The sequence below is a fragment of the Homo sapiens genome, chromosome 13, assembly GCF_000001405.40.
Source record: "Homo sapiens chromosome 13, GRCh38.p14 Primary Assembly".
In the NCBI taxonomy this organism is placed as follows: Eukaryota; Metazoa; Chordata; class Mammalia; order Primates; family Hominidae; genus Homo; species Homo sapiens.
In genome coordinates, this window is record NC_000013.11 from 42061180 (window position 1) to 42074734 (window position 13555).

Genomic DNA, 13555 nt, shown 5'->3' on the forward strand with positions numbered 1-13555 from the left:
GTTTATATAGCATGTGTGGAAGGCTGGTTGCCCCACCCTAATCTTCTTATGCAACTGGGCTTTCCCGTTGATCTGCGCCATCTTGTCTGCTCCTTACAATACACGTAGCTGGCAGAGAAGGGAAGATGGAACTGCCATCTTGAAAATGTCTAGTCCTTAGTTCCTGCAGGCATTCACCTATGCAAGCTCCCAGCTTGTAGGCCGCTCTTTGTTAGAAAATGATTTGGGGCTGCTTTTTATTAAAAAGAAAAGCCTTACCGAGGACTCCCATACTCTTGCTATCTGTCTAAGTAATTTCTTCTTAACTCCTATATCATTATGATATACTGTCCCTTTGCTGCATGAATCTCTCCTGAATTCATTTCTCCCTTTCCATTTGCTGCTTACCCTAACTTCATTTAACCTTTATTATCTGTCATTTGGATTTTTGCCATATATTTCCTCTCTTCTCCATTCTCTACTCCAGTGCCAGAGTTATCTTTGTAAAAGAGAAATATGATACATAATACATTTTGCATAAGCTCTTAGACTTTGCCCATTACTGGTGGGATAAAGTCTAAATTAGTCTTTTCTAATTTGATACTAAATGACCTTTCTATTCATTCAACCAATTTTTATTGAGTTCTATTCTAGGTGCTGAGATGGTAAAAGAACATAAAAGCCCTGCTGTTATAGAGCTTATAGTCTATCAAGGGAGAAGTTAATTAACGTATACACAGACACAGTTCTATCATATAGCTGGTGTTCATAAGCATAATGAAGGAAGATAAAGCAGGGTAAAGGGAGAAAGATGGAGAGTGTGTGTGTGGGTGTGTGTGTGTGTGTGTGTGTAAAATATTTGGGTTCAATTGACCAGGATAGACTCTCTTTGATAAGGTAATATTTGAACAGAGATCTTAGTGAAGTGACAGAAGCTATGTATGCAGATATCTGGGCTCCAAGCACCCTAGGCAGAGCCAATGCCATGGTATTCCAGTTGTGTTTTCTGTCACTGTCATCCTCTGTACAGTCATGCAAACTCTTCTGTTTCCAAAGTAAGGCAGGCATTTTCATCCATCCAAGTGTTACAGGTATCTCCCTTTTCCTATTTCTCTGTTTGACTTTTTATTTATATACCATTATTTCCACACATTTTTCAAAATATTCAAAATGGTTTATATTCCACACTGTGTATTAAGCTTAGGTAAAATAGGGCTAGAGGACTATGAGATTAGGAAGAAGGTTAGAAGGCTAATATATAGAGTGAGGTGTCTTGCACAGCTAGAGATGAGTTGTAAATTTGATCCCGGGTAGCCAGAGCAGCAAGACCAGTTATAAAGTCGTATTACCAGCGGGAAAAAAGCCCTCTAGATTTTAAGGGGGAAAAGCTTTTCTAGCTTTCCTTGGGGGAACCAAAGAAATATGTTCTATCAGTCTTTGATGTGGGTGGGAGTGAGGTCTGCAATATGTTCCCCTCACCTACATCCACTTGGGAGGTGTCCTTATGATGTCCTCCCTTGTGAGGTCAGGACATAATCCAGACTTCAACTTTGTGTGACAGTAGTTCTGTAGGAGATGTAATTAAGGCAGTTTTAGTTACGGCCAACTTCAGGCATAAAATCCAAATTATTTTTGAAGATTGAATAAATGGCATGTACTTGAAACAGTTCTCGGGTTAAACCAGGTATCTGCTGAAATACTTTCAAAGTGTAGAATCTCAGGTTATCTGCGTTTTTATTTATCTGTTCACTTGTAGTTGATACAAGGGGATGGAGTGATATGTTCTTAGCTATTATGGGAAGAAAAATCTGGTATTTCTTGGTGGCTCTCATAAAAACTGGTAAAATGATTCTACATTCAGGTTTAAAAAATGTTCTTTGGAGCTTTATGAGTGCATTGCAGAATATTAAAAGCTGTGTGTATTTTAGGATTATTGTGAAAATAGTGTTGACTTCATGGACCTTTGAAAAAGGTCTTGGGAACACTTGAAAATCCTGCTAGGGCAATGTATCTGGACCTATTTTTTTTTTTGAAGAGAGTGCCATGAGGATATCTGGAGGAAGAGCAGAGCAAGCTGAAAGAACAGCAAATGCAAAGGTTTTGAGGAAGAGACACACCTGACACATTCCAGGGATGAGCATTCCCGAACAGCTGACACATTCCAGCTGGTGGGAAGGGAGTGAGGGGAAAGTGAGTAGCAGGAAAAAAAGTCAGACATCAGGGGAGCAGTAGAGAGGTTGCTGTGACAATTTCCTTGACAGTTTAGCACAGTGGTTAGCACATAATTAGCACTTAATAGATGCTAGTTACCATATTAATATTAAAAGAATACTATTGCCGATCCATTAGCAAGTTTGATCTTTAAAATCAGCATCTAAAACAAACCCTTTAAACGAGAGGAGGGAAAAAATGAAGCAGTGGCTGGAGAGGGATGCTGGGGTCAAGCTACAGCTTTTTTAAAAAAGTGAAATGACTTTTTTAGGAGAAAGACTGTGGGCTGGCCGGATGTGGTGGCTCACGCCTGTCATCCCAGCGCTTTGGGAAGCTGAGGCGGGTGGGTCACCTGAGGTCAGGAGTTCGAGACCAGCCTGACCAACATGGAGAAACCCCGTCTCTATTAAAAATACAAAATTAGCCGGGCTTGTTGGCGCATGCATGTAATCCCAGCTAGTCGGGAGGCTGAGGCAAGAGAATCTCTTGAACCTGGAAGGCGGAGGTTGTGGTGAGCTGAGATCGCACCATTGCACTCCAGCCTGGGCAACAAGAGCAAAACTCCGTCTGAAAAAAAAAATATATATATATATATACTGTGGGCTGAGGAGAATAATCTAGCTGAGAGAAAAGATTAAATGATGCAAAAAAAGAGAGGAGAATTACTGGAGCAATGTCCTTATATATGCGAGATGGGGTGGGATGGCGTGAGGAGCTGGGCTTCCCTCAGAGCAGGTCAGTTTATCCATACAAGCCACTTTATCCATAAAATGCAGTAGGGGCAGAGGTTGGCACTTCTAGAAATTATTTTCTGATTATTTTGATTTTCCCAGTGGAATATGAAGTTAGGTCGTCAGCTGAGAATCAAGATGGAGAGGGTATGGAGGTCTGAGGCTAGAGGAAAGGTATGAAATGCTTGAACAGGGGCGTGGGAAAGGGAATAGACTAGAGAAATGCAGCAGTGTGAATATCAAGTTGCATTTAGGGCACACCTGAGCCGGGTGACCAGGACTCTAAGCGCTGTCAGCCTGGTGTGGGATCATGTTCAGCTGCTTGGGTGCAGTAAGTGAAGTGGAGGACAGGGTCAAACCACTGTTGCGGTTTGTCTGTGTGTGCCAGGAAAAGCGTGGGTGGATACAGTAACAAGCTCTGGAAATGATGTTGGATGAAGAGTGAGGGCTCGAGTCAGGTCCTAGGGAGTAACCATGGGACTGAGCAGCTGAGGTAGGAAGGAAGAGAAGACTGTTGGCAGAGGTTAAGTCCAAGAATTAAACTTTAATCATTCAAATTTAAAAAAGGAAAGAAAGAAAAGAAAGAGTACTAAAAGAAACTGTATAATTTTAATGATTTTAGATATGCATTAGAGATGCGTTAATAACAGGTTTTGCTGGGGAAAATCTCTAGCTCATGTATGCACAGCTGGGGGCCCTCTTTAGTAAAATACAAAGACCGTTTTACTTAGAACACAAAAAGAAAGTATCCTAAAGAAAGAAATAAATCTGATTTGGATTTTTTTTTTTAAATTTACAAATGAAACCCTGAAATGCATTGAAGAACACGAGTCCCAGTTTGAGTTCCTATTAGGCAAGTTATATAACCTCTTCAAACCTTACTTTTCCTCATATGTAAACGTTCATAAGGATATTCTGAGGATTAAGGAGATAAAACCTTCAGCCTGGCATACAGTAAGTGCTAGTAAATGCCAATTACGTATTCAGGAATCTTGACGTGAAGGGCACTTTTTCCAATAGGGCACCTCCGAACGTCAGAAGGGTGTGAGTGAATGAGAAGCTAGTGAAATCTTCCAGTCACAGGGAAAGAATTCTCATGCATGTTCTGCCTTGGACAAGCCAGAAACCAGAACTGTTTGTAAACCTTTTTGTAGATTTTGTAGATTGAGTATCATCTAAGTAGACAGAGCTTTTTATCATAGATCTAGCTAAGATTCCACAGTAGGAAGGGAAGAATGTTGAAGGAAATTCAACCTTCCCTTGGTAATAAACACTTCTACCTTATCATCATTCATGGATGTCACAACAATTTTAAATTATTACCGTTTGAGTATTTGTGGTCTTACTCTTTCTCCTCTTAGAGAGGCAACACCCTAGCCTGTTGGATCAACTCCTTCATTGTCATTTGCTATGGAACAAGGGAGTGGATATAATGAAGGGAGAGGAGAGAATCACTTTATGGCATTGCCTTAAGGCCCCAGGGTGTGTGGAGTAATTGAGGGTCTGGAGTGAACAGGTGAGTCACAGGAACTTTACTTTCCTGTACAGTGGTGGACTGGGGGTAGTTGAAGGGAGAGGCGAATATGAGCATATGTGAGACATTCTGTAGGAAATACTTGGGTGAGGAAGGAGGCCGGGGTCCCATCGGAGTAAGTAAGGGAAATAGCCAGTAGTAAAATGTGGATTATTGTCATCATTGTAACCCCATGTTTGTCTGTAGGCTGATAAAGCTTGGGGAGCTTGATGTACTCTTTAATTAGCCACAAGCAATGTGATCATATGATATATAAAACATTAAAATTATTATTATTTTTTGAGACAGAGTCTCCTTCTGTGATCCAGGCTGGAGTGCGGTGGTGTGATCTTGGCTCACTGCAACCTCTGCCTCCTGGGTTCAAGCAATTCTCCTGCCTCAGCCTCCTGAGTAGCTGGGATTACAGGCGTGTACCACAATGCCTGACTAATTTTCTTGTATTTTTATTGGAGACAGGGTTTCATCATGTTGGCCAGGCTGGTCACTTCTGAGCTCAAGTGATCCGCCCACCTGGGCCTCCCAAAGTGCTGGGATTACAGGTGTGAGCCACCGCGCCCAGCCGAAAACAATACAATTGTGAAGCAGTTCTACACCATGTTCGTAGCAGCGTTATTCATAGGAGCCAAAAAGTGGAAGCAACCCAACTGTTCACTGATGGATGAATGGATAAACAAAATGTGGCACACACATATAATAATGGGACATTATTCAGCCTTGAACTGGAGGGAAATTCTGACAGGTCACTGTGAGGTGAAAGGTCGCATTTTCAGGTGTCAGGGAATCTTTACTGCAATTTGCTGACATTATTGAACACCACCACATTTAGCATATTTTCACATAACAAAAAACACTACATGTATGTACTTAACATTTTATAGGGTCGATCTTCCTTATTCATGGTTTCAGTATTTGCTAATTTACCTACTCACTAACATTTATTTGTGACTCCAAAATCAATACTTGTATGTAATTTTTCACATGTGAAAAATTGGAGTTGCCCAATGTGCACATTCGCAGCTAAGGTTGAACCTGGCTGTGCTCTGTCTTCTTGTTTTAGCTCTCATGCAATAAACAAGCACCCTTTCATGACGTGGTTTTGCATTTTTGTACTTTTTGTTGATGATCTCACTGTTTACAGCGGCCCCCTGTGCGGAAGTGCTGTCTGGTTTTTTCCTAAAAGTAAAATGTTATGATGTGCATTATTGAAAAAATATGTGTATTAGTCAGGCTTCCTTCAGGCATGAGCTATAGTGCCGTTGGCCCTGAGTTCAGTGTTAATGAATCAAGTATACTTACATTTTGTTTAAAGAATGTATGTATATGTTTTATTAAGAATATAACATATAACATGTGATGTTATATATGTCATATATATTGTTAATATATATGTATATACACATATTCTTTAAACAGAAGCACACATAAAATGAAATTATATGTTGATTAATTGACAAAGATGTTGTGACCAGAGGTTTGCAGGAACCTAAACCTAGTATTTCCCATAGGGTCAGTGGTTCAATATCTGTTAATCTAGAGTTGTAGTGACTTTATTGAACATAACTACTGCAAATAATGAGAATCAAATGCGTGTTAAACTATTTTAAGGGAAAAATAGTATTAATTTCTGTGCTTTTCAAGGAAAACCAATATTTGAGTTGAAATCCATCAGTTTAGAACCTATCAAATGAGAATAGTATATCAAATCAGAATAGTATACCCAAAAATCTCTTCTGTAAAAATAGATACTAGTTTATGCTTTAATTTTCAACACGCTTAAAAAAGAATTTGAAGATAGAACACAGAATTACTCATTTCATTTAAGAAGACCATTTTTCTCTCCTCACCAAGCACATATCTGGCTTTGAGATAATTTGTTCATGTCATAGAAAAATGTCTTTTATTCTAGAAAGATCATAAAGGCTTGAAATGACAAATAGATACCATTGTGTGTGCTAACGCCAACATTTTATATTACCTCTTAATCTTTAGTTTTAATTAATTATTGCCACAACTGATCTAGCAATTAATAGTACATTTCTTGCTTTTATAGTTGATTTAATTAATTAATTAATTAATTTTTTTTTTGCTGGCCATGTTTTATTTGTCCTTTTACTTCAAACAGGATAACCAAAGATATAGACAGTATTCAATAAAATAAAATAGATGAAACAAATTCTAAGAGACTGTGACGCCACATGCTACATTTAACCTAATTTTATTCATGCTTGCCTTGGGATGGGGAATAGATCATTCAGTGAAAACAAAATGTCTTATCATGTACAACTTTTAAACTATAATAATGATGTACCTTAATTACTTCCATGCACACAATTCTAACATTCATTTTTTTAAAAAAATAAACACAATTAAGACTTCTAGAGCATTTTATAATAAAGTAATTCCTAATTAATTTTTCTTTGTAGCTAGATCAAGCACCTCCAAAATACAAATTCCTATACACAGTGAGCACGTTACTTAAAATGAGTATGTGGACCGCCTTAGGATAAACTGACATAGATTCGGCTAGGTAGGCAACAAACCATAGTGCCAAATGGAAAAAGTGTATTTGCAAATAAATTTTAAAAACTAAGTTAATTTTTATAATTAAATACAGAAAATATATTGATTTGCTAAAATAAATAAGATGTGATGTATTAACACTTCACTATAAAGAATGAATACCAGAACATTTATAAACAGTGAATGAGTCTTATTAAGAATAGTTTACTACAATACACACTGGCTAAATAGAAGTGCGTTTTGTGAAGCACTATGGGTGGTATGTTTTGCCGCATATTTTTGTTACTTTGAGGTAGATAACACACATATACCAAATTCAGCATTCATTTTCAGTTGCTTCTGGTATCGTGTGTTTTACGAAATGTGTACAGTATGAAAAACTTGAAACTACTCATGAATGAAAAATGTCTTAGGATAAAAATAGATATTTTCATGCAATTATGTACAGTCTCACTGTAAATTTCAAGGCAAAATTTGTTTCCTGTAAAACAGATCATTGTTCTATGAGAGGATGGTCTTCACTTGTCTTAGTGCATTTCTTTTGTCTCCTCCTGCATTGCATTATTTTGCTCTATTCATTTTGCAAATGACATGTCAGTTAAAATGAAAACTATCTCACATGTAGAAAAAGAAAGTCTGGATTTTAAAAACCAAGTACTCATAAAATCCTTACTAAATGACACCATCTGATTCAAGTAAAAAATGACTTAAACTCTAGTAATAAAAAAGACAAAATACATTTCATAAGAATACAAAGATAAATGTCTGCTGAGTGTTTTAGTTCAGATGTTCAGAATGCCGCTGTATGTTTGATGAGGAATTTGAGGGGAAGATTTCATAGCAGAAGCTGTTAATGTGGCCTGTATTGACTTAAGTGGTGACCCAACTGGACTGTGAAACTGCGGGATGCCTATTGGGCTCGAGCTGCTTATTAAAGAGGAACTCCTCACTGTTGTTCAGAAATCCTTCCTCATTTCTCTCTCCCCAAGCTTCCCATCCTCTACTGGCTCAGTTTCTAGCATTTCAGGATCTTCTTTCCTGCTGAAGAACTTGTCTAAGTAACTAGTGTGTTTTCCTTCTTAACTTGTTCATCCTTTCTTACTTCACAAAACTGATTTATGAGAAAACAGTTCTCCCCATCACTCACAAACTGGCTGTCCCAAGAAGATGGGTACAAAGTTTCTAATTGAGCCAGATTTGCCATTCCTTTTTCCTGTTTTTCTTGACTTACTGACTTTGATATCAAACTTTTCAATTCTAGTTGGGACACTGAGCTATTCAAGTCGATTTAATTTATCAACAACATCAGTAGACTCATGTTGGAAACTAAATTGAATAGTTCCTGCAATAAAGGAATGAAAATCAAATCCCTGATTCTTTTCCCTTTCTTTTCCAGCCAGTTGCCGTGATGCTTCCTCTAGCGCTATCTGGGCTTTAACCAATCCATTCCTTTCACATTTTGATTTTCTTTTCTTATCAGATTTTTCTTTGCTTTGTTCTTTCCAATTGGAAAGATCTGTAATAAGCTTGGGTTCATAGTAACAGTTAACTTCATTCTCTCTCCAAACTAAGTTATCTAAATATGATCATGACCTCGTTTTGTAATTACAAGTATGGCTACACTCCAGATCACAATATTTGTTTTCATGATGATCTGGGTACTGCCAACAAGGCTCAGCAGAGTAATTGGTATGGAAAGCAGGATCCCCCAGATACCTTTCCCGATCTCCATCCAAATAATTTCAGGGATCGACTTGTACTTCTTCATCAGTGACATCAGACAGAGCTCTTGGATTAAGCTGAACTTCATCAATATCAAAGTTGTTATGTATAGGCCAATCATGCTCTGAAAACTGACAGTCATAGTACCTTTCCCAGTTATAAATGTGACTGTGAGTTTCATCCATAAGCAAAATATTATGAGCTTCATCTTCAATATGAAAAGGATGGCTTGAAATTGGCTTATCCATTGGAAAAGAACATATGCTCATGTAAGGATGGGAGAGCGCTTCTTCTGCTATTAACCAATCCATGGGGCTAAATGTCAAAATTTGTTCCAGGAAATTCAGTGCTTCGCGACTAATTCCTGGAAGTAGCTGAGTTAAAGGTTTGTGTGGCTCAGTCATGTGATTTCTAATGTAAACTGGAATTACGCTGAGAAGCTCCTGACGATCTTCCTCATGTGCAACAGGAATAGATTCTAAAGTCAGCTGCATCTGTTCAAGTTCATGTGCACCTGCAAAAAGGGTTTTACAAAACAGTCAGCATTTCAGCAGAGATGCAGCCTGCAGCCCACATGTCAATGGCTTTAGTATAATTATTAGGAGAAAGTAAAAGACATGGAGATCTGTACCATTTAGTAACCAATCCTTCAAAAGATGACTCTTACGGGAATAATGAGGATCCATGATCCGTGCAAGACCAAAGTCGCCTATCTTCAGCACCAAGTCTTCAGTATTAATGAAAAGATTAGTTGGTTTGAGATCTCTGTGCAGTACATTTGCAGAGTGAATATACTTGAGCCCCCGTAGCAGCTGATACATGAAAAGCCTGGCATGCTCTTCCAGTAAAGGGCCCTGCTCCAGCACTTTAGACAAGTCTGTCTTCATGTACTCCTGAACAATGTAAACACTGTTTAGTTCCGTAAGAGAGCCCACATCATCTGTTAATTGGCTCCCACTGGGACCAGGAATTTCAAACACTTTCACAATGTTATCATGGTCAAGTCTTCTAATAATCTTGATTTCACATAGAGCATGTTTGACACTCTGGGGATTGGTAAGGACAATTTTCTTGATGGCTACTCTTTTGTCACAATCATTGTCTACAGCAGAAAAAAACAAGTAATTGCCTCCACAACCCAGTGGTTTTAAGTCCATATACGTAGAATCCAGATCAAAACCATGAATGTTCATGAGACTTTCAAATTTCTCTGCCACTTTGAAACCCTTATGATTGCCTTTTCCTTTGGAATTGTTGAACTTGTGTAAACAAGGAAGAAAACTGGCATCAAAAGGAAAGATCTTTCAAAAAGGGATAAGAAAAATAATTATGCTTCCACAGCAAGATGGTTTCTTGATGTTCATTGCTTCTGCCAAACAGGCCTGTTGATTTCCCCGTAGGTTTAAAGCTCAAAAAGCTCTACTCATGTTGAGAATTTAAAAGATTGCAGTACTCATAGTTCAAGAAAGGGGCAGCAACTCTGCAGACATTTAAAGAAGACACTCAAGAAACTCAAACAGAATGAAATGACATACTATGCACTCAGATTACTCTGCTAAACGATTTAACATTTAACAAAAATGTGAATAAATATGCACACAACAGGCTTCTATGAACATTCTCCTCACAGTGCAGATACATTCAGTGTTGGACTGGTCCTGAGCAGCATCGTTCTAAGGTGCTGGTAAGCACTATTTGCGTTTTGCTTCTTTTCTTCCTTTGTTGCTATATATTTCAACAGGAACCCCTGGCGGCTGTTGGATAACAGAAGATGTCCTTTGTTAATGAACAGGTGGCTCCAGCTCACCACAATTAAAATCAAAGCTACTGTCCATCTTACTCTGATACAACGGGACTTCTCTGACTCATCAAGAGAGTGCAGGCCCCGCGGACAGCCCCCAATGTCAGCTCAGGTCTCTGGCTGTGCTGGCGGCAGTGGTGTCTCTGAGGCCCTCACTTTGCCGCAGTCACCGCCATGTAACACCGACCCGTGAGAGAGGGCCATGTTGGTTTAATTTAAAAGGAACAACCCTGAGACTAGAGACATTCTTAGAGACAGAAGGATGTGGTTTACTTTTATCAGTACATTTTATTTCCTTTTCCCTATCGTAAAGACCCTGGCATCACTACTCAGTGTTTATGTAATAGATTCCCAAGATGGTCTTTAAAAATAGGAGCTGTATTTTGCTCCTATGAGTTCATATTGCTTAATGTTTGAATTAGAAGAAAAAACTTTTGTTAGGTCACTTTCTTATTAAGTTTATATTTGAACAGTTAGTAAGCAGGCATATTGAAATGCTGTATGACATAACCGCTCTTATCTTTGAGGCAATGCAGTGTTGTGGTTAAGATCATGGACTTTGTGTTTTGAGAAAGGCCTGGTCTTAAATCCCAGTTGTCCTATTTACCCTCTAAGTGACTTCGGGTAAGTTACTTAATCTCTGTAACCCAGCCTTATCTCTGAAATCTGGACAATCAATGTACCTACCTCACAGAGTTGTCGTGATGATTTGCATGAGATAATTTGAGTATTTAGAACTGTGGCTGGAACATATTGGTTCTTAAAAGAGATAAATTATTGTATTGATGTTAAAAGAATATAGATGATGTTCCACAGTAAGTAAATAAAATCAGCATCTAAAACAAACTTGAATTGTGATGATCAAGAAAAAAAATGTTTACCTTGCAAAGAAATACAGATCTGCCCACTGTCATGAGACAGTGGCTTCCCATTAGCTCTGTTTTAGATCATTTCTAAATTTACTAGATTGTAAAATCTCATTATGAAAGCCTAGACAGGGTGATGTATGTGGAGTTCTGTTTATAATTAACACCTTATAGAATGTAATGTTTTTAACCAATGAATTTTTAAACAAAAGAAAAAGGGATTTTCAACTAATAAAAGTCCCTCCCTCACCTCAGAGGTCACCTTCTCAGGGCGACCTGCCCTGGTGATGCTATCCAGCATTGCAGTCCCCACCCCCAACCTGGCATGCCCCAACTTCCTTTCCTTCTTAACTTCTCCCCTTAGCACTGATCACCACCGAATACACTAGATAGTACCATTTTCTCTAAATCCATCTTCTAATATTAGAATATAAACTCCATGGGGGCAGGGATATTTGTCTATTTTTTTCCCTGCCCTGTCTCCTGTGCCCAGAACACTGCCTGTTACATAGTCATTGCTTAAACGATATTTGTTGAATGAAAAAGGGAATGGTTCTAGTTTTGAGAAATTCTTTTATATATTTTAGCTGTTATGATAATGTTCATCCTTCTCTTTGCTATCTATTTGGTAAGAGGAATGAAATTTTAGAGCAGTGTCCTGCTCGATATACCCTCAAGATTTTAGAGCAGGGTATGCAGTGTATTAATTCTTTGTTTTCTTTGCCATTTATTAAAATAGTGTGTATTTTGTGCAGGAGATCAACAATTAGTAGAATGCAGTCCTTTCTTATAGTGGGGGAGACAGCTATATGTACAGATATACAGATGGTCTTTGACTTTTGATGGTTTGACTTAAGATTTTTCAAATTTACGGTGGCAAAAGCAATACATATTTAGTGGAAAACATACTTTGAATGCCCATACAACTATTCTGTTTTTCACTTTCAGTACAGTACTCGATAAATTATATGAGATATCCAACACTGTATTATAAAATAGGCTTCATGTTAGATGATTTTGTCCAACTGTAGACAAAATGTGAGTGTTCTGAGCACATGTAAAGTAGGCAAAGCTAAGCCGTGATATTTGGCAGGTTAGGCGTATTAAATGCATTTTCAGCTTATGATATTTTTAGCTTTCTATGGGTTTAAGAGGATGTAATGCCATTGTAAGTTGAGGAGCATCTGTATATGGTATACAACCATGCATGCAAATATATATGGTAATGGATACATGCTGTCACAGAAACAAACATAGCGGGCACTCTTGAGCAGATATGGAAGGCTTCCAGAGAGGGTCACATTGAGCTGAGTATTGAAATGTGGTTAATGACAGTCGTGCACCAGGAAAAGGATAGCATTCTAGCATGACTGAACTGCACAATGGCTTTGGCATTTCCTCCTAGTACTCTGCTATGAAGCGTCCACTGAATTCATGGAACTTAGTTCTCATAGAAATTATCTTGATGTTTTTGTTAGACTGTCTACAACAGGAAAGATGAACTAGAAAATTTACTGAGTTGTTTATACTCTTATTATGATCAAATAAGTGTTTTTGAATTAAATATATATAAAATTAGAGTCATTATTGTCTTAAGGTACATAGTGGAAAACTCAATAATAGTTGAAGGAAGCTGATTTGTTTGCATTGCTGTGTTTTGGACATAGAGAATTATTACTGGGGTAATGTGTTTTGTTTTAAAGAGTAATTTGGCTTAGGTATTGCTATTCTTCAGAATATGATTTCTGCCATTTTTAAACCCTATTATTCTTACAGCTTCATGTCTTCTGTCAGGTCTTCACATCATTTATCAAAATTTCCATCCTGAGGATGATAAAAGTTCAGGTATCTCATTCCAAATTGGTTGTGAAAATTACCTAGATTTCATCTTCCTGTTTTCCTTCAAATAAAGGAAATATTTGCAAACTTTTTATTTATCAGTGACATAGTAAAATAACTATTAAGATATGATTTGAAAGAATCCACATGGAAGGGCAAGAAAGACACCCTTGCCCTACCTTGGCATACAGGCTATAACTTACCTGTTTATTTCCTAACCCAAATGATGTATCAAAACAGGCCACTGTCTGTATTGTATCTATCCGTCCATCCATCCATCCATCCATCCATCCATCCATCCATCCATGCATCCACTCATCCCCTAACAACTTGAATATAGATCCTATTTATG

General features: G+C 38.0%; 1 protein-coding gene and 1 pseudogene across 3 annotated transcripts in view; one reads left to right on the top strand and one right to left on the bottom strand.

The window, feature by feature from the left end:
• DGKH (diacylglycerol kinase eta) overlaps positions 1-13555 on the top strand; it is a 216515-nt gene that overhangs the window by 21110 nt on the left and 181850 nt on the right. The window lies entirely within an intron of this gene.
• Positions 6538-10699, bottom strand: MAPK6P3 (mitogen-activated protein kinase 6 pseudogene 3; annotated as a pseudogene).